The sequence below is a fragment of the Homo sapiens genome, chromosome 20 (genome assembly GCF_000001405.40).
Source record: "Homo sapiens chromosome 20, GRCh38.p14 Primary Assembly".
Taxonomy (NCBI): domain Eukaryota; kingdom Metazoa; phylum Chordata; class Mammalia; order Primates; family Hominidae; genus Homo; species Homo sapiens.
Window position 1 is genome coordinate 37,685,822 of NC_000020.11, and position 24,532 is coordinate 37,710,353.

The 24,532-nt window shown below is 42.1% G+C and overlaps 1 protein-coding gene and 1 long non-coding RNA gene across 5 annotated transcripts in view, besides 2 other annotated features; one reads left to right on the forward strand and one right to left on the reverse strand.

Annotated features, from left to right (window-relative positions):
- Positions 1-220: 220 nt before the first annotated feature.
- On the reverse strand, positions 221-5,455 carry LOC105372609 (uncharacterized). 2 transcript variants are annotated; one of them, XR_936703.1, is made up of 4 exons: positions 5,362-5,455; positions 5,042-5,129; positions 1,973-2,071; positions 221-705 (listed from the first exon to the last, which is right to left on the reverse strand). It is a non-coding gene; the product is annotated as an uncharacterized LOC105372609 (long non-coding RNA). The 2 variants fall into 2 exon arrangements; XR_936704.1 differs by lacking the exons at positions 5,042-5,129; positions 5,362-5,455 and adding an exon at positions 2,301-2,415.
- Positions 5,456-8,208: 2,753 nt separating this feature from the next.
- Positions 8,209-24,532, forward strand: part of CTNNBL1 (catenin beta like 1) — a 178,089-nt gene continuing 161,765 nt past the window's right edge. For 2 of the 3 annotated variants that reach the window (NM_001281495.2, NM_030877.5), the window contains exon 1: positions 8,209-8,331. Coding sequence is in view for 1 of the 3 variants with exons in the window: in NM_030877.5 (NP_110517.2) it covers positions 8,302-8,331 (30 nt within the window). In the remaining 2 variants the exon portion in view is untranslated. Of the gene's footprint in view, positions 8,332-9,105; positions 9,213-24,532 lie in introns of all 3 variants that reach the window. The other variant, XM_024451947.2, reaches the window with a different exon arrangement.
- Positions 8,487-8,546: an enhancer, noted in NCBI's record as "active region_17850". NCBI's record gives its function as "activates an Ori minimal core promoter by ATAC-STARR-seq in GM12878 lymphoblastoid cells {active_cell/tissue: GM12878}" and the evidence as "EXISTENCE:reporter gene assay evidence [ECO:0000049][PMID:35858748]".
- Positions 11,530-11,679: a silencer, noted in NCBI's record as "silent region_12893". NCBI's record gives its function as "represses an Ori minimal core promoter by ATAC-STARR-seq in GM12878 lymphoblastoid cells {active_cell/tissue: GM12878}" and the evidence as "EXISTENCE:reporter gene assay evidence [ECO:0000049][PMID:35858748]".

The window sequence follows — 24,532 nt, forward strand, 5'->3', positions numbered from 1 at the left end:
GCATTTAATTAATTACTTTAGAGACAAGGTCTCACTCTGTTGCCCAGGCTGGAGTGCAGTGGCACTGCTAGCTGTAACCTTGACTTTCAGGCTCAAGCCATCCTCCTACCTCAGCCTCCCGAGTAGCTGGGACTACATGTGTGCACCACCACACCTGGCTAATTTTTTTCTAAACAAAAACTTGTGATTTCTATGTTTTCAATGTCAGGTTTATTTTTAATAAAATGAAAGAACAGGAAAAGATGCACAATTTTCTGAAACTTCTGAGGTTGAGGTAGATGGGTTTTTCTTAAGATGTGTCTTTCATAACACTAGTTCCACAGGATGCTAACAGGTGTTAGATGAAAAATGGCTTCTGTTATCAAATGGACTTGGAAAACATTGGGTGAAACAGTTAAACAGTTTTCTTCCTACAAGACTGCACAGAGCTTCTCATATATTCATGTGCATAATGAGTCTCCATGAGAAGATGTGAGTTTAACAGCTGCCCCTCTTCCCAATCTGAGGCGCAGGAACATTCTTTGCTTTCATTGTTGCTGGTGTTAATTTCACTGATAGCTGCTGGGAATGATTCAGGGCATCTAATTGGTGTTTATCAATTGCTCTGTTTATCAATAGGTCACAGCGGCTACCAAGACAGAAATGTCACTTTTTGGTACCTAACCTGCTTGGACTTTGTATATCTCTTCCTGCACAATGAATTGCCTAAAAACATAGGAGGTTAAAAACAACAAAAAGCATTTATTATCTCACCGTTTCTGTGGATTAGGGATTTAGGGACGGCTTAGATGGGTGATTCTGGTTTCGTATGTCTCATGAGGTTGCAGTCACCTGAAGGCTTGACTGGAGTTGAAGCCTCCACTTCCAGGATGGTCCCAGTGAATCTCACCTCCTGGTATTCATGCCCTGTGTGGTTCCCTCCCATAATGAACAGGCCTGAGTTCATTGAGTGTAATGAACACTCCATAGGATATCATAGAAATGATGGACTGTGAATTCTGAGGCTAGATCACAAAAGACACTGACTTCTGTCCTGTTCTCTCTTGGATCACCTGCTCTGGAGGAAGTCAGCCACCACATGAGAACACTCAGCCAGCCTGGTAAGGAGACCTATGCATCAAGGAATTGAGGTCTCCAGCCAACAACCAGTACAACTTACTTGCCATGTGAATGAGCCATCCTGGAAGTGAATGACATCGTGACTACAACTTTATGAGAGACCCTAAGCCAGAACTATCCTGCTAAGCTGCTTCTAAATTCCTGATTCACCAAAATTTTGTAACATAATACATGTTCTTAGTTATTTTAAGCCACTAAATTTTGGGATAACTTGTTACACAGCAATAGATAACTAATACACATACTTAGTGCCAAGGCTGTGTAATAAACAGCCGATTCAGCTCACTAGCTAAGGAATCTGCTTACTTCCCAAGCCAAAAGTGGTCTTGACCAATGTCCTTTGACTGACCCCAAATGGTAATAGCACAAATAGTTCTCCCTATCCTTTCATACTAAAGCATCTCTGAAAGGTCTGACTCATGAGGGTCATTGGTATGGGGCATTGATGACTGGCACTTCTCAGAATTAGGGTTTATGAAATTTGTTTGATTCTTATGAGTCATTGTGAGTCTGGTTTCATGGTTTTTCCAGCTCAACATCTTTTTTTTAAATTTCTTTTTCAAAATTGGCTTTCTCGGGGTTGACAGCCTAACATTTTTTTTTTTTTTTTTTGAGATAGGGTCTCCATCGCCCAGGCTGTAGTGCAGTGGTACAATCACAGCTCACTGCAGCCTCCACCTCTCCTACTCAGCCTCTCAAGTAGCTGAGACTACAGGTAGGCACCACCACGTCTGGCTAATTTTGGTATTTTTTGTAGAGATGGGGTTTTGTCATGCTTCCCAGGCTGCTCTACAGCTCAACATTCTTGGCCATGGAATACTTTCTTTGTGCAATGGACATAGTTGGTCCTTACCAGCATTCCTTTTCCCTTCTTTCTAAGAGAGAGCCCCAGGAAAAGATGATCTCTCTTATTCTTCTTGCTGTTGTTGTTCTTGGAATTGCTGCTGCCATCCTATTTCCAGAAGAATAGTAAAATGAGCTCCAATGTATCTGTCACCCACCTTCAGCAATTACAACTCACCAATAATTCTTTCATCTATACTTCCACTCAAATCCATACCTCTCCCACCTCTGACAGTTTTGAAACAAATTCTAGTCATCACATTATTTCATACATAAATTTTAGTATGTATCTTAAAAAGATGAGGACTCTTAACACAATCACAATTCCTTTATCATACCTCAGACTCTTTTTCCCTCCCACACCAAATAATTCCTTTTCGTTGCATATCCATGACTATCGAGTTTTTACTTGGCTCACAGTCTGTCTAGGAACATAAATTCTCCTTGTGTCTAATTGAGACCTGTGCCTGCTGGGAGAGATAATTACTCGTTAGCAGTCAATAATCTCCTGTGCCTGGATCATAAGTGTCAGTACTATTTGAAAGGTTAACTGAGCCCAAATCCCTACTGTGAAACACGTAGTCAGACAGACTTGGTTTGGAGTCTTGCCAGTTACTAACTATGACTGTGGGCAAGGAGCTAAACTCCAGATCTCAGTTTTCACAATTATTTAAAAATATGACAGTACAGGGGACCCATGGACCTGGATGTTGGGAATAAGAAGCAGAGGGAACAGACTCTTCCTGAGCCCCAGAAATTGCATTCTGCTCCCCAGAAAACAGGTTCCCCTTTCCATTGCCCACTCTGTAACTCTTCCCCACCCATTCAGGTACTGATTGGAAGAGTCAGGATTTCTTCAGCAGTCTCGTATGTTTCAAATCAACCCAAGATTGTAGGGTAGGAGCTCAATATTGATGATAAATATATTTTATAAGTGTGTTTTTGAGAATATTTTCTTAAAGGCTCTTCCAATAAATAATTTACTGGGCAATGAAAAATGGAGAAGGTGACTCTGATTACACTTTGGAGCATCTAAAGTGTGAAGTTTAAGGAACCTAGGCAGCCCATGGCTATTTAAAAGCTTTCTGGAAGGGGTAATTCTTCCACATTTTTTTTAAAGGTTACAGCCCAGCAGTTGGTCTCTTGAATGGTGCTCTTCTCCTAACTCCCTCCTGGATGCCACTCTGAAATCATTATCGTCACAATTTCATTCTGCTTGGTGCATAGCACATAGCTCTTCTGAGCATTCCTTTTTTTGTCTTTAAAATTGAAATAGTCACATTGTTAGGATTTTGGGTGAGAAGTAAAAAAAAAATTTTTTTCTGAGACAGGATCTTGCTCTGTTGCCCAGGCTGGAGTGCAGTGGTGTGATCTTGGCTTACTGCAGCCCCAACATCATTGGCTCAAGTGATCCTCCCACCTCAGCCTCCTGAGTAGCTGGGATTCCAGGCACATGCCACCATACCCAGCTAATATTTTTATTTTTATTTTGTAGAGGCAGGGTCTTACTTTGTTTCTCAGGCTGGTTTCAAACTCCTGGCCTCAAGGGATCCTCCTGTCTTGGTCTCCCACAGTGCTGGGATTATATAGGTAGGAGGCATCACACCTGGCCTTTGGGTGAGAATTTGAAGGTATTTGAGATTGTTATGACCAGGAATTAATGAATCAATCAATCAGTAGATTAGTTGGTTCATTTATTAAATCAACAACTATTTAGTGAGTAACAATTAAGTGCCAGGTACTGTGTTAGGTTCTGAGTTTACTGTGGTAAATGATACAGCAATCTTTGCTCTTCTGGAGCTTAGAATCTGGAAGGGAAAGCAGTCCACAAATGGGTAAAAAGCAAACAAATATAAAAACAAAAACAATAAGTGTTCTGAAGATAATAATGGTCAGGAATGCTGATAGAGAATCTTGAAGGGGAGGAACTGTCTTAAATCTTGTGGTCAGGAAAGATTCCTCTGATGTGTGCAATTAAGCTGAGACCTGAAGGGTGAGCGCCCCAAGTCTCATTCCTGGGGGTTCCCAAAGAATTATTAATGGACCCTCTCATCAAGATAAAATGAAAATATCTTAATCTGGCATTCAAGTTTCTCCAAGATTAGGGTTGCCAGATAAAATAAATAATGCCCATTTAATTCTGAATTTCAGACAGAAAACATTTTTAGTATGTTATTAAATATTGCATGAGACAAATTTATAAAAAATTCATTATTTGTCTGAAATTCAGATTTAACTGGGTGTCCTGTATTTTTATTTGCTAAATCTGTTAACCCTCTTCGTGATCTTCTCCAGCCAGCCTCTCCACCTTTTCTTCCACACATTTGAAGCTCTGTCCACAAGGAAGGGTCCAATTGCCTTGTCTTTGCTCATGCTGTTCCCTCTGCCTGGGTCACCATTCTCCCACTGTATCTTCTTGGTAAACTCTTCTTTCCCTTTAAACCCCTGTCCAGATGTTACGTTCTCAGGGAAACCTCTAGCAGAGCACATTAGCCCCAGTTCAGGGTGCTCACCAAACCTGGTTCTTATAGGATTTTGCCTTATAATTCTGTGTTTTAGAACTGGTCTCTACAAAAACAGACAAGACTGATTGCCTAAAAAGGAAAGGTTATAAGGAATTCTCTCATTCTTCCTGCCCTCTCCCTTGCCCCTATCCCACTCAACTCCTTTTTCTTTCTTTTTTTTTTTTTTTTTTTTGAGAGACAAGGTCTTGCTCTGTCACCCAGGATGCAGTGGCACAATCCTGGCTCACTGCAACCTCTGCCTCCTGGGCTCAAGTGATTCTCCAGCCTCAGCCTCCTGAGTAGCCGAGACTACAGGCACGTGCCACCACATCTGGCTAAATTTTTTTTCTATTTTTTTGTAGAGACAGGGTCTCACTATGTTGCCCAGGCTGGTCTCGAACTCCTGGGCTCAAGGGATCCGCCTTGGTCTCCCAAAGCTCTGGGATTACAGACATGAGCCACCGTGCCCAGCTGCCAACTCCTTACAATATTAATATAAGACACACAGCACTTTTCTGTGCCAGGCACTGTGCCAAGTGCTTTGCATACAGCATTTCATGTAAACCCTCCATAACCTTATGAGGTAGATTTGGTTGAATCTCCACTTTGCAGGTGAGAAAATCAGGCATGTAGAGGTGAAGTTCATTGCCACTGTTTCCACATCTGTAAAATAAGACTCATATCAACATTTTCTCCATGAGGTTTTCACCCAAACTAGAATGTAGGTTTCCAGAAGGCAGGAGCTTTGTTTTATAAACTTCCATATCCTCAGAGCCCAGAATTGTGCCTAGCATTGAGTAGGCTCTCAGTAAATACTTGTTGAATGAATGAATGAATGAATGAGTCATGTTACAGATAAGGAAAGTGTAATTTAGGGACAGAGAAAGTAACTTACCCAAGGACCCATGGCTAGATATGGTGGAACTTCCACTAGAACCAGAATCAGGGTGTGTTGGGTAGATGTTTAACAACTGGCTCGGCTGGGTGCAGTGGCTCATGCCTGTAATCCCAGCACTTTGTGAGGCCAAGGCGGGGGGATTGCTTGAGCTCATGAGTTTGAGACCAGCCTGGGCAGCATGGTGAAACTCTATTTCTACAACAACAGCAACAACAACAACAACAACAAAATAAGCCAGGCATGGTGGCGCACGCCTGTAGTCCTAGCTATTTGGGAGGCTGAGGTGGGCTTCAGCCCGGGAGGGGGAGGTTGCAGTGAGCTGAGATCCCGCCACTGCACTCCAGCCTGGGTGATAGAGCCCGAGCTTGTCTCAAAAGCAAACAAAGAAACAAAAAAACCCTACAAGTAGCTCTCTGGAAAAACAACAACATTAACAACCCTGATTTGTAGCATTTGCTGATTTACATTGTACAAATACTCCTAGCATGGCTGATTTCAAGCTATCAACCTGGTGTCAATCAGCTTGCAAGTTTCCTACAAATTTAACCATGGGCTTTTGTAGACCTGTCTGTGCAAGCTGGCATCAACATACCATGAACTAGAACACAGGGGTCTGGGTCCAAAGGGTACACCCTCACCATTACTCTCTCCTGTCTTCCCAAACAAGGCACAGTCTATATTCTATTTTTTTTTTTTTTTTTTGAGACGTAGTCTTGCTCTGTCGCCAGGCTGGAGTGCAGTGGTGCCATCTTGGCTCACTACAATCTCCACCTCCCTGGTTCAAGCGATTCCCCTGCCTCAGCCTCCCAAGTAGCTGGGACTACAGGCACGTGCCACCACACCTGGCTAATTTTTTGTATTTTAGTAGAGATGGGTTTTCACCATGTGGGCCAGGAAGATCTCAATCTCCTGACCTCGTGATCTGCCCTCCTCGGCCTCCCAAAGTGCTGGGATTACAGGCGTGAGCTACCACACCCGGCCGGGCACAGTCCATATTCTTATATAAGTAGGAGGGGGAAAGACACCCAAATAGACTGAATTCAATGCAGATTGCATAGGTGATCCTTTAAAAACATAAGCCCAGTCACAAAACTACCTTGCTTAAAACTTTCCTTATGCCGTTAGCATAAAATCCAATCTCTCTCTCTTTTTTTTTTTTTTTTTTTTGAGACAGAGTCTTGCTCTGTCACCCAGGCTGGAGTGCAGTGGTGGAATCTCAGCTCACTACAGCCTCTGCCTCCTGGGTTCAAGCGATTCTCCTGCTTCAGCCTCCCAAGTAGAGGCATGTGCCACCATGCCCAGCTAATTTTTGTAATTTTTAGTAGAGACGAGGTTTCACCATGGTGGTCAGGCTGGTCTCAAACTCCTGACTTCAAGTGATCTGCCCGCCTTGGCCTCCTAAAGTGCTGAGCTTACAGGCGTGAGCCACCACGCCCGGCCACGCCTAGCCAAAATCTAATCTCTTTACCATGGCACACAAGGCCCATTATGAAACCTCTCCCTCTACCAGGCACTGTACTAGGCTTGGGGGATACAGTGGTGAACATGACACACACATGTCCTGCTTGCATAGAGCTTGCAATCCAGTAAATGAGGCTGTCAAGAAACAAATAGTCAACCATTAAGCACAAAATTACAGAATGAGATATATACGTAGTGGAGCAGGTACTTGGAAAAAGAATAATGAGGAGAGAGGTTGATTACCTGGACCAGGGTGAGTTGAAGAAGCCCTTGTAAGAAAGTGACATTTGAGACCCGAAAGATGAGAGAATTGGATGAGGTATGGTGCTGATGGCCAGGCAGAAGGGGAGAGGATTTGTCATTCTGAGGAATAAGAATAATTTCTGTATAATTGGAGCCAGTGCAGATGGGATGGGGACCAAAATTATAAATATGAAGGGCATATAAATATAATATAATACATAAATATAATTATAAATATAAAGGACAGGGGCTTATGGAAGGAGGTTTAATTTCCTTTGAAGATGGAGCCTTAAGTCCCAGGTGCATTCTGATCTTGTTTAAGATCAGATGCACTCTGAATGATTCTCTTCCAATTATGGGCAACTTTCTCCTCCAGAAACCTTTTTATATCACCTGGGTAGCAAGGGGATCATCTAGTGACCGTTAGACTTCGCATAGATGAGCAGACACAAGCCTAGAGAGGGACATGTGATCACCAATAGTTTCTCAGCCAGTAATAGTTGTACAGCCTTGGAACAAGTCACTTTTTGAGCCAGCACTATCTGATAGAAATTAATGGGAACCACAAATGAGAGCCACATGTGTAATTTAAAACTTTCTACTAACCACATTTAAGAAGTAAAGAGAAACAGGTAAAATTCATTTTATAATATATGAATTTGACCCAGTATATCCAAAATATCATTTCAACCTGTAATCAATGTAAGTCTTAGAAATCTGGTGTGTATTTTATTTACACTTATGGCACATCTCACTTCGGAGTAGCCATATCTCAAGCGCTCGGTAGCCATATGTGGCTAGTGAGTAAAGTATTGGATGGTGCAGTTGGGAGCGTCAGTTTCCTTTTCTGTGAAATGAGGATAAATCACTGGAAGCTCGTGAGAGCGCACACGAAACACCCGGCACTCCGCCCTGGACACTAGGGACGCGCAATCAAGTTTGGTTTCTTCTGGTCCCTGCTCTCCCCTCCCGCCCCTCCTCTAAGTCTCCGCCCCCTTTCCCCGCCCCCTCAGGCTCCAGGCGGAAGCAACCCTGTTCCAAATGCAGCGCGCTTTACGGCGGCGCGTCCTTTTACCGCGGTGTGGCCGGCTCGCTTGTCGCTCGCACTTTTGCCCTATTGGCTCTGCGGCTCCGCTCGCCGCACTTTACGGCAGTGTGGCTGGAGCCGCGGCTGACGGGCCCGCGGTCTGGGCGTGAGTGCAGGGAAGTGGAGTATTTGCTGGGCCGGGTACCATGGACGTGGGCGAACTTCTGAGCTACCAGGTATGAGGGGCAGGGAGGGCCGAGCGACCGCGTTCTCACCTGGGCAGGGGTCGCAGGAGCCAGAGCCCTTTCATCTCACCTCCTCTCGCCTCACTCCCGGGCCCTCTAACTTCTCATGCCACCCGGGGTCTCAGCCCCTCGTTTTACTTTGCTCTCCGAAGCCCTCCTGGGCCCTTTCGATTCATCCCTTCTCAAGACCTGAGCCCTTCACCTCCTCTTCCTCACCCTGGGGCCTGGTTCCCTGAAACTCCTCTGAAACCCCAGACTATCCTTTTTTTCACAACCATGTCCTCTCAGCTCTCATGTCCCCCCAGTCATTGAGGTGATGGTGGTGGCGGCGGTGGGAGTGCACTGGTCTCACTTGGATTTGATCTCCAGCTTCTCCACTGACTGGCTATGTGGCTTTTGGACAAGTCATTCCCCCCCTCTTTGAACCAAGTTTTTGTATCTATATAGTGGAGACACTAATAACTGCCTTAGTAGGGTTGTTTGAGGACTGTACCAACTGATATGTATGAAAGCTGGTTTTAAAGTGTGGAAAGCTGTGCTTGTGTTTACTGCGATTTGCAGGAGATGTTGGGAATTCTAGCATGGAATGAGTTTCTAGGAATCTTGCTCAGGGTCCCCCTTGCCTAGGAAACTTGTGGGGAAACTGTATGGGACCTAGAGAGCAGAAAGGGCTTGTCCAAAGTCACTCAGAAACAAGGAGCTGGAATTTGAGCTCAGGCGTACTGACTTCCACCCCAAAGTTTTTCCCCCACTTTGATTCCATAGGAGGGTCATTGCGAGGAGCAGTAGAGCTGCACTGCCGAATGTCGTAGCCACTAGCCACATAGGCTGTTGATTGCTTGAAATGTGACTAGTCTGAATTGAGAAATACTGTAAGTATAAAGACACATTTGGGTTGGAGACTAGTATGGAAAAAGTGAAATTTTTATATTGATTACATGATCGTACTGATTATATCAATTACATTGGTTATTGGTCATATTGATTAAATGATCATATTTTGGATAATGGGTGAAATAAAATATACTTAATTAATTTTTAAAATTTTATTTTATTGTTATTTAGAGACAGGATCTTGCTCTGTCGCCCATGCTGGAGTGCAGTGGCACAATCATTGCTCACAGTAGCCTTAAACTCCTAGGTCTAAGGTATCCTCCCAAGTAGCTAGGACTGCAGGCAGGCATCACTATGCTTGGCTGATTTTTAAATTTTTTGTAGAGACAGGGTCTTGCTATGTTGCCCAAGATGGTCTCAAACTCCTAGCCTCAAGCAGTCTTCCCACTTGGCCTCCCAAAGTGCTGGGATTACAGGTATGAGCCACCACACACCACACTCAGCCAATAAAATATGTTTAAAACCAATTTTAACTGCCCCTCTTGACATTTTAATGTGTTTACTAGAAAATTTAAAACAACATATATAGTTCAGCTTATATTTTTGTTAGACAGCCCTGCAGTCAAGAATAGGTGATTAAGAGCCATGAGTCTGGACCCCTAGGTTGCTGGCAGTCTCTGTTTTGCTACTAACTGGCTGCTGTAACCTTGAACAAAATACTTAATTTCTCTCTGCCTTGGTTTCTTCATCTGTAAATGGGGGACAGTGACGGTAGCTGCCTCACAGGGCTGTTGTGAAGCTGTTGAGAAATGGAAAGTCCTTAGACAATGCTTGCCAAAGAGTAAACATTCAGTAAATATTAGCAGTTATTTTCATACCACTCCCTCAGCCAAAGTACAAGAAATTGACCCTGGACGCTTAAGACATCATGGGAAAGAACAGTTCAGCAATGGGGAGCTATATAGCCAAGAGATTTTTCTTTTAAAGACAGTTTAATTGATAGTGAAAGATGAAGGGAAATAGGCAAGTTATTAAATCAGTGATTGTATGCCGGCTTGGAATTTCTAGAATGGCTAGCCCATTAAAGCTAGAAGAGTTTCATTCATTTGCTCAACAAATATATATTGAACACCTACTGTGTGCAAGGCAGTCTATCCACTGGGTATACAACACTGAATAAAAGACAAGATTCTTGCTTTTGTGGAGCATCTGGTGGGAAGTTACAAGATAATAAGTAAACAATGCATTCAGTTTGTGGTAAGTGCTGGGAAGGGAATATAGCAGAGTATGCTATAAAATTGCACTGCTTTGTATAGTAGCCACTAGGCACATGTGATTATTGAATACTTAAAATGTGACTAGTTTCGAATTTAGATCTGCTACATGTGCAAAATACACACTGGATTTCAAAGATTTAGTATGAAAATAATGTACAATATCTTTTTTTTTTTTTTTTTTTTTTTTTGAGATGGAGTTTCACTCTTGTTGCCCAGGCTGGAGTGCAATGGTGAGATCTCAGCTGACTGCAACCTCTGCCTCTTGGGTTCAAGCGATTCTCCTGCCTCAGCCTCCTGAGTAGCTGGGATTACGGGCATGCGCCACCACGCCTGGCTAATTTTTGTATTTTTAGTAGAGATGGGGTTTCTCCATGTTGGTCAGGCTGGTCTTGACTCCCAACCTCAGGTGATCTGCCAGCCTTGGCCTCCCAAAGTGCTGTGATTACAGGCGTGAGCCACTGCCCCTGGCCACGTGAAAATAATGTACAGTACCTTAACTTTTATGCTGATTACATGTTGAATAAATGATAACACTTACGATATATTGGATTAAAGAAAATATATTATTAAAATTAATGTTGCTTTTTAAAAAACTTTTAAAATGTGGCTACTAGAAAATGTAAAGTGGGCCGGGTGTGGTAGCTCATGCCTGTAATCCCAGCACTTTGGAAGGCTGAGGCGGGTGGGTCACCTGAGGTTGGGAGTTTGAGACCAGCCTGACCAACATGAAGAAACCATGTCTCTACTAAAAATATAAAAAATTAGCCGGGCGTGGTGGTGCATGCCTGTAATCCCAGCTACTTGGGAGGCTGAGGCAGGAGAATTGCTTGAACCTGGGAGGTAGAGGTTGCAGTGAGCTGAGATCATCCCATTGCACTCCAGCCTGGGCAACAAGAGCGAAACTCTCTCTCAAAGAAAAAAAAAAAGAAAGAAAATGTAAAGTTAGGTGTTTTGTTTGTGGCTTTTGTTGTATTTTTATTGGACAACACTCCTGTCGAAAATAACCCCTGGGAGTTGGGGACAGGACCTTTTACTTTATGTAATGTGGTCGAGGAAGGACACAGAGGAATGGGCATTAAAGGACTGAAGGTTGAGAGGGACCCAGTCATGTGAAGGGAGCAGAATGATGGAGGCAGCAAGAACAGCAAGTATGGACATAGGCTATTGGTAGAAGCTGGTGCAGCCTCATAGGGGACCAGAAAGAGGATCTATGTAGCTGAAACGGGAAGTGAGCAGGGGAATGGTAAGTGACAAAGCTGAAGATGTAGGCATGTGACAAGACTATGTAGGCCTTCCTTGTGGGCCACGATAAAGACCTTGACTTTGAGAGATACGGTAGATACCTTCATTCAACCCACTTGTTCATGGATGAAAGTGAACCTTAGTCTGATAAAGGGACTCACCTGAGGTTGTGGGCCAAGATGGTGGCCAGAGTTGAAACTAGAATCCTGGTCTCCTTATTATTATTTTTTAATGTTTACACATCTTACCACATTTAATCTTAATGGCAGTACTTAATATGTTAATATAGGAACCTTCATTTTAAAGATGAGGGAATAGGTATAGAGAATAAAAAACGTGTCCAGATTCACACAAGTGAAATGTACCTCAAGGATTCCAATCTAGGTAGCTTTGCTTCGTGATCATAAACATTTGTTTATTGTGTTATTCCAAAAGTATTTCATTTTGTCAATCTGACCCCTTTCCCCCTCACCAAGAGCAAATATGCCTAGCGCCTACAGGTAGATTGGGGTTGCCACAGGCTAATTTTCCTGAACTGCAAAATATTACTTGCCTTCCTTATCCTGGATCTTGGCCTTTACATTTTCTATTGTATCTGAGGGTTCAATCTAAGAGTTTTAAAATGCAAATATGTTGGTTGCACAATAAGGAACTACAATACTAGAACTCATTTAATTCAGGTTGACAACACTGAACTGAACCAGTAACAGGGCTGAAACCTCCTAAGTCTGCTACTGGAGAGCACTTTGATCTCGCCAGCCTAGGGCGGGCATGCTCATGTCCAGCTGGCCAGCCAGGAGCATCTCCTTCCCCATCGCAGGTTCCCCACTTTGGTTAATTGGCCGGCTAGAACCATTCGAGAGGTGAGAGGCCCACCCGTTAGGCACCAAAAACCAGCTCTAGGCCTTTGCTCAGCGAAATATCCTCAATTCAAGGCTAAGTTTCAGAACCCAAATTCAGAATCATGGTCTAAGGCTTGGAAAGCAGCACCAGTCCCAAAATCCACCTCAGGACCTTATTCAGGCCCTGGCTTCCTTACACCACCTGGCCCTTATCTCAGAATCCTGGTCTCCTTATTTCCAACTCTGTACATTCCCCATGTGTTCTGTTCATTCAGTTTTCTTTTTGTAAGATCCATGTCCACTCTTCCTGTTCCTAAAAGATGGTAAAGGCTGGAATGTAGTTCATAATCAGTTGCACCCATCCTCTTGCAGAAAGTCATGAGTTTATGGATGCAAAAGTTCTTTGAGGCCAAGCGTGGTTGTTCACCCCTGTAATCCCAGCACTTTGGGAGGCCAAGGCAGGCGGATCTCTTGAGTCCAGGAGTTCCAGACCAGCCTGGGCAACATGGTGAAAACCTGTCTCTACAAAAAGTTTAAAAATCAGCTGGGCATGGTGGTGTGTGTCTGTGGTCCCAGCTACTTAGGAGGCTGAGGAGGGAGGATTACTTGAGCCTGGGAAGCAGAAGTTACACTGAGCCAAGATCATGCCACTGTGCTCTAGCCTGGGTGACAGAGCAAGACCCTGTCTCAAAAACAAAAAACAAACAAACAAAAAAACTCCTTGAAAACAGTAACATTTTATAGACATGAAAGATGCTTTACTAACCAGCATGATCTATCTAAATCCTCATAACAACCCTATGAGGAAGGTACTGTTGTTAATCCCTGTTGTACAGATAAGGAAACTGAGGTACAGAAAAGAGCACCTACCTTAAGGCATCTAGCTAGGTAGAGGCAAGTCCAGGGTACCCGGGTAGTCTTACTTCATAGTTGGAGCTCCTAACCACTGTGCCATACTGCCTGCCTGCTATATGCCAGATGCAGAACCAAAGTGTTTTCAGACAAGTTATCACATTTAATTCTCAACATGCCTTCTGAGGTTGGCAGCATGCCTGTATTATAGGAAAGGAAACTCAACCTAGGGAGGTCAAGCTGCCTGCCGAAAGCCAGACAACCAGTAAGGAGCAGGGCCAGAACTGAAACCAGCTGAACACTCAGAGGTAGTTTTCCATTTTGTTTTCAGATTTGAAAACTTTTTAAAGTTGAAGTATAGTCCACATGTTGAATAATACATACATCTTATGAGCCTTTGGTTATAGTTATCATTTACAAAGTAGACTCAGTACGACCACTGAAGTTTGCTTCTCAGGGACATAAGGGAACAAAATTGTCTGATTTGAACATCCCCATCCCTAGAGTTTGATTCAGTCTCCTGTGGGACTTTAGATTCTGCATTTCTAACCAGATCCCAGGTGATGCTGATGCTGTACTTTGTGATCCCCTGGTCTAAAATGATCTCCCTTCCTTGAAAAATTTTCCCCAGCTGAGACATTCTCTTCCTCTCTTGTGGGCATTGGTTTGCAGATTTTTGAGCTTAAGTTGTACTTTTTCCCTGCCATTCAAGATATTGAGAGCAAATCACTTAATCTTCCTGGGCCTCAGTTTCCTCATATGCCTAATGAGGGGATTAAGTACGCGACTCTCTCTGAGGCCCCTTCTAGCTTTAAAATTCTGTGGTACTAATTATTTAGACCGGGGCTCCAGAGATTTCAAGGGATAAAAACGCTTCATGTGGTAGACTGAGTGGGGCTGAGAATCTGGGAGATTTGGGTTTTAATCCCACTTTTATCATTACTTATCTGGGTGACTCAGGACAAGTCACTTTCCCTTTCTATACATCATTTTTTTTCAATCGCTTGTAAAATGAGGAGACTGAGCGATATGACTTCTGGTTCTTTTCATTTCCAAAATTCAGAGACTAAGATGGATGCCGTTTCTAAAATTCAGAGACTAAGCCAGGAAAAATATCATGCAGTGTCAAGAAATGTTTATTAAAAGTATTTAACATTTTTTGGGTGCTTACTACATTTCATTTTTGGGGCGACTTGGTGGGAAGATTCCAATTTTCTGCTGAGATTGGTTCTTCTACAAGTAATAGAGATAGGCACTAAGCGCCTCAGTATATGCCGTATATCCTTGACATATGTTAACTATTCATTTGAGAAGACAGGAGAATTACAATATGGGCAGGAGGTGGTGGAAAAAGTCTTCAAGAGGGAACCAGTTATGTTCCCAATATGGAAATGTACTTTTTTGATGCCTTCAGGCTTAGACATCTCATCAAGAAGTGTGCCCAGCAGTGCCTTGGCTGAGAAGTTTCTGCTGGCATAGGCGCATATATGAACTCCAGGGCACTCTCATTAAATCTGATTCCACAGATGTCTGGAAAAAGTTCTTACCTCTGAAGTTTTCCAATAAAGAATTCACATTTAGTATGGCTTGTGACATGAGATGTATTCTTTTTGAGGCAAATTTGAGGCTAAGGGACCCTTGGTTTTGGTGATATTGCAGACACCCACTCCTCTTGTCCTCTATCAGTAATATCTTAGCATATCTCTTGGATTGCAGGAGCTTACAGAAATATCTAAACTTGCTCCTTTCCCCCTCCTAGTTTTTTCTTTTGAAATAAAATTTTAAATGATAATAAAGTGATAGAAATAGTATTAAAGAAAATGCTTGAGAAGAGGAAAACTATTATCCTAATTCAATCAATATTTTTCTGTTCCCACAGTCCTTACGTATTTTGTGAGGCTAGAACCATTGCATATATACTACTTTATGTTCTATGTTTTTAATTTAACATTGCCAGGAATATTTTCTGTGTTTCTACATCTCCTTCATGTTATTTTTAATATTTGCATACTTTTTGCTTGAGTGATAGACCATTTTCCCTAAATTGTTCTTCTACAATTGGATGTTTAGGTGGTTTTCCGGTTTTTGTTCTTGGAGATAACATTGTAGTGAAGTGCTTTGTTCATGTAGCATTTTTTTCCTTCCCATCTGTCATTAGTATTTACCATGTGCCATCTCCTGTGCCAAGTATTGCATGCACTAAAATTATTATGACATGGACCATGGACATTAAAGAAGAATTCATAATGTAAGGAGCAAGACAGACATTTAGAAAACTAACTCTATGAATAAAAGTATTATGGGAGCACAATGGAAGGAACGGTTGGATATGGAAAGGGGATATATCGATGGGGATGGATTTGGTTTGGTCATTGAAGAAAAGGGAGATGACACTGGAATCCTAGCCTTGATGAATGGGTAGGGATTCTGTGGGTGGTAAAGGACACTGGGGACAGTGATTCTTGACTGGCATTATTAAGAGCAAAAGCAGGGTAGTGAAATGTTCAAAGCATAGGGTAAATGCAGCAATGGGTAAAAAGCAGGGAGTGGTCGGAGACGATGGGGGTCATCTCAGCTGCAGATGTGTGGCGTAATACATCGTACGCTCATCTCAGCTGCAGATGTGTGGCGTAATACATCGTACGCTCATCTCAGCTGCAGATGTGTGGCGTAATACATCGTACGCTCATCTCAGCTGCAGATGTGTGGCGTAATACATTGTACGCTCATCTCAGCTGCAGATGTGTGGCGTAATACATCGTACGCACGTGGAATGAATCATTGGTTGTTTTACAGTGCTAACAGTATACTGTTTGTGTGTGTTCCAATTTTATTACAACCTTTTTTTAAAAAATAGAATCAGGGCCTCCCTGTGTTGTCCAGGCTGGTCTTGAACTCTTGGACTTGAGCTATCCTCCTGCCTCAGTCTCCTAAAGTGCTGGGATTACAAGCGTGAGCCACTGTGGCTGGCCCCAGTTTTATTACAATCTTGATAGTACTAGTTCATAATTTATTTTTTCCACTAATCTACTAGGTATATTAAATACTAGTTCAAGGTTGCTTTATTAAGCATTATTTTCTTCTTGTGTGAGTTTATCATTTGTATTATTATGTGCCTCATAAGGTAGTCATTGTAATTTCGTAATTGAGTTTTTCTGTTATATGGGTTTTTTGGTTGTTGTTGTTGTGTGTATAAGAAACATTACTGAAAATCTGAAAACTGGTGCTCAGATACATCCTTCATTCTGTGAAGGCCTCATCCCAGTAGCCCTAAGAATATGATTCTAATCATGAAGTCATTTTATATAGGCTCTTTTTGCATGTCAGTTTAGTACATTTTGAAGTTACTTTTTGTTGGAAGTGTGACTCTAACAGATAAGGAGGACCAGAACAGATACAGAGCTATTCTCATTGATAACATTTCAGACTGTTTTTCTCTTTCATCTCATGAGTGATTTTTTTCCTTAAGTTCACTTCCTCCCTCTGCGTTCTTCTCATCATCTCTTTCTTCTGGCCCATTCTTCTCACACTTACAAAACACATTCTATTTATATGCCTCCTTACACACACTTTTTACTAAACTGTAGACTTAGAGGCAAGGACCAGCACCTAGCAGAGCATCTCAACTGTAGTTAATGTCTAATACATGGTTGTTTAATGATTGAATGAACTGGGACATGCCTTTGTATATGCCCTGGTTGTTTCCCCTTCTGGAAAGCTCTTGTTCTACTATCTTGTTAGCTTGTTGGCCTACATCTCTGTGCTTTCATGTCAGACTTCAAGAAAATTGGGTTCACAACTGATACTTCAGTTGCTTAATCATTTTCCTCTTCTTTATTATCATATCTTGCCACTCTTGCTACAAAACCTATATTCTTTGCTTTTTAACTTTTTATTTTGAATTTTAAACTTAGAAAAAATTATAAAAATAGTAGAGTTTCCGTATATTCCTCATCCAGCTTCCCCTAAAGCTAACATCTCATATAACCATTATGTAAAGATCAAAACTAGGGAATTAACATTCGTGTAATACTAGTAACTAAACTGCACACTTAATTCACATGCCATCAGAGATGTCTGGTCATTTTTCTGTTCCAGGTTTCTATCCAGGATCCCACATAATGTTTGTCATATTTCCTTAGTCTTCCGTTATCTTTCATGTTGAAGAGTACTGGTCAGCTATTTTGTAGAATGTCCAAAACCTACATTCTTGAACTTGTCAGTGCTGTCTTTTGCCAAAGATTTTCTTGGGCCTCATTATTCTGGAATCTTCACTAGAATTTGACTCTGTAACTCTCTTCTTCATCATTTTAGAAGAACTCATTCATTCTTTTCCTTTCAGCATCTTTTTGCAGACAGCTCTTAGTTCACCGTCCCTGATTAATGTTTCGTGTGTGTACTGAACATTCTGGCCAGATGTTCAGATATCACATAATTCTCTGCTTCCTCCCCTGCCTATCCCCATGGCCAGCTTTGCATTTCAGTCAGGGGTGTTGATGTTCAGCAGACTTGAAAGGAGCCTTGGAACTATTTCTCAAAGATGAAACGGCTCAAAGATGAAAGACAAGGTTCTTTACTTTTTTTTTTTTTTTTGAGACAGAGTTTTGCTCTTGTTGCCCAGTGCAATGGCATGATCTCGGCTCACTGCAACCTCTGCCTCCTGGGTTCAAGCGACTCTCCTGCCTCAGCCTCCTGAGTCGCCGGGATTACAGGCATGTGCCACCACGCCTGGCTAATTTTGTATTTTTAGTAGAAACGGGGTTTCTCCGTGTTGGTCAGGTTGGTCTCGAACTCCTGACCTCAGGTGATCCACCTGTCTCGACCTCCCAAAGTGCTGGGATTACAGGCATGAGCCACCGTGCCCGGCCATGGTTCTTTTCTTCATGGTTGGTACAGGCTCATGAGCACAGAGCCTGCCTCTCTCTCAGAGTAAAGAAGGTGTTAGGATATGAAAATGATTAACTCACAGTTTTTGCTCTCCTGGAGCTTGCAGTCTAATGGGGTATACCCCAGATTTGAAATCCAAGTATAGAGTGTCAGTGCTGTCAGGGCTGTTATGGTGCCATGAACAAGATGTGGTGGCACAAAGACACAAGCAGCTCTACTGCTGGGAAGTTGGAAAAGGCTTTATGGAGGGAGCGCTGCACCTTCAGGAGTCTTCTCTCCATCCCTTCCTTTCTGTTCCAACCGCCACCACCTTAGTTTAGACTCTTAAAACTTTGTTGACAGGGTGTAGTGCTTCACACCTGTAATCCCAGCACTTTGGGAGGCTGAGGTGGGAGGATCTCTTGAGCTCAGGAGTTTGAGACCAGCCTGGGCAACACAGTGAGACATCGTCTCAAAAAAAAAAAAATTTGCTGGGTTTGGAGGTGCGCGCTTATAATCCCAGCTACTGGGGATGCTGAAGTGGGAGGATTGCTTGAGACCAGGAGATTGATGTTGCAATGAGCGGTGATCACACCACTGCACTCCAGCCTGGATGACAGAGCTAGATCCTGTCTCAAAAAAAAAAAAGGGAAGACTGTCAAATAAGTAGCCTCCTGGGTGGTCTTACTTTTATCATTGTGGATCTCATATTGGCATGGTGAGATCCAACAGAGGCCAACAGAGAACACTGTTCTTCAGTCATAGACTTCAGTCCTACCTAGTTCAGCTTCCTTGGAGACAGGTCTTCTTACTAAGTTGCCTTGCTAATTTTGAAGGTGAATTTGGTGAAGACAGCCATGTCTTTCTGCAGTCTCTCAGTAGTTGTCATTGTTTAAATTGAGGGATTGAATTTATAAGGTTTAACCAATTAGAGAAGTTTTCGTATATAAAAATGACTTCATTGGAGAATGTGGATGGTTCACAATAGCTTGTCAGCACTGTGGGAGAAAATACTTCAAAGCCTGTTAGGCATCCCTTAATGTTTAGCTTAGTGCATGAACATGAACTCTGGGTCAGATGGCCTGCATTGGAATCTCAGCTCTGCTACTTGCTAGCTATGTGACCTTGGGTCCATTAATTAACCTCTTTAAGCCTCAGGTCTTCATCTTTAAAATAGAGATTGTATAATAGTGTCTATCTCTGCCCAACCATCTTTAAAAAAATTTCTGCTTTACCATCTTTCTTAAAAATAAAGGATTAAATGAGACAATTTGGATATTGCTAAGTAGTACAGTGCCTGACACATAGTGAGTGCCCAGTAAGTGTTACCCATTAATTTTCGTTATTTATCTCATTACTAACAACACGCATGCTACAGCAACATGGCAAAAAAAAATTTTTTTTTAATTCTACAAAATTGCCTCAGTATTCCCAAGGTCATTGGTCCCTTGGAGATTAAGGTTCAGAATCCTGTATAAAGAAATGAGAACAGTTTGTTACCCACACATGCTACAGTATAGAAATGTTCACAGTAGGTTAAAATACAACTTTATTATATCAAGAATTATGTCATCACCATAGTAATTATTTTCCCGTGGTCTCTTTAATATTACTAAGATATCTCAGTTTTCCTATTTTCTAGCGCCAAGAATCTCGTTTACAAATTACTCCTTCCTTTGTCTTTTTTTCCCCTTAGTGTCCCTAAAGGAAGTGGTTGGGTTTGGTCTGAGTCTTGTGTAGCTGTAGAGAAATTGGAATCAGGAGAAGATGTAGTAGGAATTCTGATACTGCTTTTACCTTCTCCAAGGTCAGCCATTTACCTCTTTAGTATTTCAGCTGAATATTGGCATCCCTTGGAGATATTAAGGGTTTGGTTCCAAACCACTCCAGTAAAGCAAGTCATACAAATCTTTTGGTTTCCCAGTGCATATTAAAGTTCTGTTTATACTATACTGCAGCCTAATAAGTGTGCAATAGTATTGTATCTGAACAATGCACATACTTTAATTAAAAATGCTTTGTTGTTAAAAGCTGCTAACCATCATCTGAGCCTTCAGCAAGTTATCTTTTTGCTGGTGGATGGAGGGTCTTGCCTCCTTTTGCTGGCTGCTGACTGATTAGGGTGGTGTTTGCTGAAGGTTGGGGTGGCTGTGGCAATTTCTTAAGACAACGATGAAGTCTGCTCCATCTGTTGGCTCTTCCTTTCATGAAAGATTTCTCTGTAGCAAGCTGTGCTGTTTCATAGCGTTTTACCCACAGTAGAACTTTTTTCAGAATTAGAGTCAGTTCTCTTAAACTGTGCTGCCAATTTATCATCTAAGTTCATGTAATATTCTAAATCCTTTGTTGTCATTTCAACAATGTCCACAGCATCTTCACTAGGAGTAGAGTTTATCTCTAGAAGCCACTTTCTTTGCTTATCCTTAGGAAACATTCCATTCAAGTCTGATCATGAGATTGCAGCAATTCAGTCACATCTTCAGGCTCTGCTTCGAATTCTAGTTATCTTACTGTTTCCACCACATCTGCAGTTAGTTCTTCCACTGAAATCTTGAACCCCTCAAAGACATCCACGAGGATTGGAATCAACTTCTTCTAAACTCCTGTTAATGTTAATATATTGTCCTCCTCCCATGAATTATGAATGTTCTTGATGGCATCTAGAATGATAAATCTTTTCCAGAAAGTTTTCAATTTATTTTGCCCAGATCCATCAGAAGAATCACTATCCATGGCAGCTATAGACTTATGAATGCATTTCTTAAATATTAAAGAATAATACTTGAAAGTTGAAATTACTCTTTGATCCATGGGCTGCAGAATGGATGCTGTGTGTGCAGGCATATAATTAACATTCATCTCCTTGTACATCTCCATCAGACCTCTTGGGTGACCAGATGCATTGGCAATGAACAGTAATATTTTGGAAGAAATTTTTTTTTTTCTGAGCAGTAGGTCTTAACAGTGGGCTTAAAATATTCAGTAAACAATGCTGTAAACAGATATGCTGTCATCCAGGCTTTGTTATTCCATTTCTAGAACACAGGCAGGGTAGATTTAGCATAATTCCCAAGGGCCCTAGGATTTCAAAATGCTAAATGAGCATTGGCTTCAATTTAAAAGTCATTAGTCCCTAAGAAGAGCATCAGCCTGTCCTTTGAAGCTTTGAGGCCAGGCATTGACTTCTCTCTAGCTGTGAAAATCCTAGATGGCCTCTTCTTCCAACAGAAGGCTGTTTTGTCAACATTGAAAATCTGTTGTTTAGTGTAGCCACCTTCATCAATGATCTTAGCTAATTCTTCTGACTAACTTGCTGCAGCTTCTACATCAGCACTTCTGGGTTCACCTTGCGCTTTCATGTTATGGAAGTGGCTTCTTTCCTTAAGCCTTATGAATAAGCCTCTGCTAGCTTCAAACTTTGTGTGCAGCTTCCTCACCTCTCTTAGCCTTCATAGAACTGAAGAGAGTTAGGGCCTTGCTCTGGATTAGGCTTGGCTCAAGAGAATGTTGTGACTGGTTTGATCTTCTGTCCAGAGCACTAAGACTTTCTCCATATAAGCAGTAAGGCTCTTTAGCTCTTTTACTATTCATATGTTTACTGGAGTAGCACTTTTAATATCCTTCAAGAGCTTTTCCTGTGCATTCACGCTTTTCTGTCTGGTATAACAGGCCTCGCTTTCGGCCCATTGCCGCTTTCAACATCCTTTCCTCACTAAAGCTTAATCATGTATAGCTTTTGATTTAAAGTGAGAGATGTGAGACTCTTTCTTTCACTTGAACACTTAGGGCCATTGTAGGGTTATTAATTACTTAATTGCAGTATTGTTGTGTCTCAGAGAATAGGGAGACCTGAGGAGAGAGAGAGAGAGAGAGAAAGAGGAAAGGCTGGTTGAGGCACTCAGAACACACACATTTATTCATTAAGTTCGCTGTCTCACGTGGGCGTGTTTGTAGTGCCTGAAAACAAAGTAGTAATATTAAAGATCACTCATCACGGATTACCATAGCAGATATGATAATAATGAAAAAGTTTGAAACATTGCAGTAATTGTCAAAATGTGACACAGACATGAAGTGAACACATGATTTTGGAAAAATGGCAGCGATAGACTTTCTTTTTTTTTTTTTTGGAGGTAGAGTCTGGCTCTATTGCCCAGGCTGGAGTACAGCAGCAGGATCATGGTTCCCTGCAGCCTTGACCTCATGGGCTCGAGCAATCCCAGATTAGCTGGGACTACAGGTGTGTGCCACCATGCCCAGCTAATTTTTGTATTTTTTGTAGAGATGGGGTTTTGGCATGTTGCCCAGTCTGGTCTGAAACTCTTGGGCTCAAGTGATCTGCCCACCTCAGCCTCCCAAAGTGTTGGGATTACAGGTGTGAGCCACCGCGCCCAGCTGATAGACTTTCTTGATGCGGGGTTTCTATAAATCTTCAATTTGTAAAAAGCACAGTATCTGCAAAGGGGGAAAAAAATGAGGTATGCTTGTAGTTCAGAACTAGTTTCTTTTCCATAGAATTCCAGCAGTGACTGATCTGAAAATGTTTTAGCCTAAACTTTAGAATTCCAGCTCCATTGTGGGTTGGTAAATGGAAATTAGCTTTTCTTCATCCTGGAGTTCAGTGAAGGATCTAGTGAGACTACTGCAGTGCCTTTCTATCTTTTAACTCACTTTGGATTATCAGCTGCTTGTAAGCAGATTATGTGCACTGGCTCTTTGTACTTCCTTTCAACAGCTACCCAGCAATATCTAGAGTCACTGAACTAAGAAGGAGTTGAAACTGGCCAGGCGCGGTGGCTCACACCTGTAATCCCAGCACTTTGGGACGCCGAGGTGGGCGAATTATGAGGTCAAGAGATCGAGACCATCCTGGCCAACATGGTGAAACCCTGTCTCTACTGAAAATACAAAAATTAGTTGGGCATGGTAGCATGCACCTGTAGTGCCAGCTACTCAGGAGGCTGAGACAGGAGAATTGCTTGAACCTGGGAGGTGGAGGGTGCAGTGAGCCGAGATCGCGCCACTGCACTCCAGCCTGGCAACAGAGCAAGACTCCGTCCAAAAAAACAAACAAAAAAAAAGAGGGAGTTGAAACCAAGCAGAGTATCATGATGCTTCTCTCTGAATATATCTGACTTTATTCCAAAAGCAGGCATGATTGATTCTTGAACAGTTTTGCTGGCATTATTTTTAGTGCAGATTCTAGCTTCATGTTTGGCATTATTCATGTGCTCATTCTGTTAATACATAAAATTGAGGGTTGATGACATTTCTTTATTTGAATCCCCTATTTCCAGTTAAGAGCATCTCAGTTTAAATTTTCTTTTGGGATCCTTGATAGAGTTAAACATTAGCAGCACACCAGTCCTCTGCTGGTATATAATGTTGGAATGCGATTTTCTTTGCAGCTTTGTATAAAAAGAAACAAATTGTAGCTACAGTTTGTCATGTTATCTTTTAGCAGACGCTCTCAACATCAATGCTTCCATAATAGGATTAATGATGGGGGAAACTTTTGAGCATCTCAAGCTTGCATAGTTATTCACAGAGAAGCTGAAACACGTAATGGGGGCTCTGGCCAGGAGTACCTCTATTGGGCAAGGGAAGGTAGAGATGCCGAAGGACTAACAGAATAGTGAAACTCGGCAATAAAGGAGGACACGAAAAAGACATTGCGATTGATTGAGGGTTGTAGCTGAAAGAAACCCATAATGAGATTCCTTTTTTAAAAAAGGTGGCACAGATTGTATTGAATTGTACTAACTTCTTGTTTCTCTGGTGTCTTTGGAAAATGTGATGCCCTTCAGAAACAGACTTTCCAGGTAACTGAAGCTTTTAAGTGGCAAGACGATCTATTCCAGCTTCTTCTTTGTACACATGGGTAAACCAGAGAGCCCAGAGAGGGAAATAACTTTAGCACCCCAACAACTTGGTGACAAAATCGGGGTCAGGCAGTGCTGTGTCCTTGATTATGCGTCCTCTTTTCCATGTGCAAAACATGTATTTTTCATCATTTTGTATGGAGAGCTTTCTAAAACATGAACATTCTTGCCTTTCTCAGTAGGACACACTGTGATCTCAGGAGCATCATTATGAATACATGTTAGTTGTGCCTGAATTCTCTCATGACCTTTTGAAATCTGGAAAGCTTTTACTTCTGCACTGTGGAATAGTAGGGATTTTGAGTTCTTGTGCCTACTTTGTGTAGTTTACATTCTTTTCCTTGGTGTCAGCTGTCACTCCTTAGTGTTATTGTTTGTTTGATATGATATCTAACCT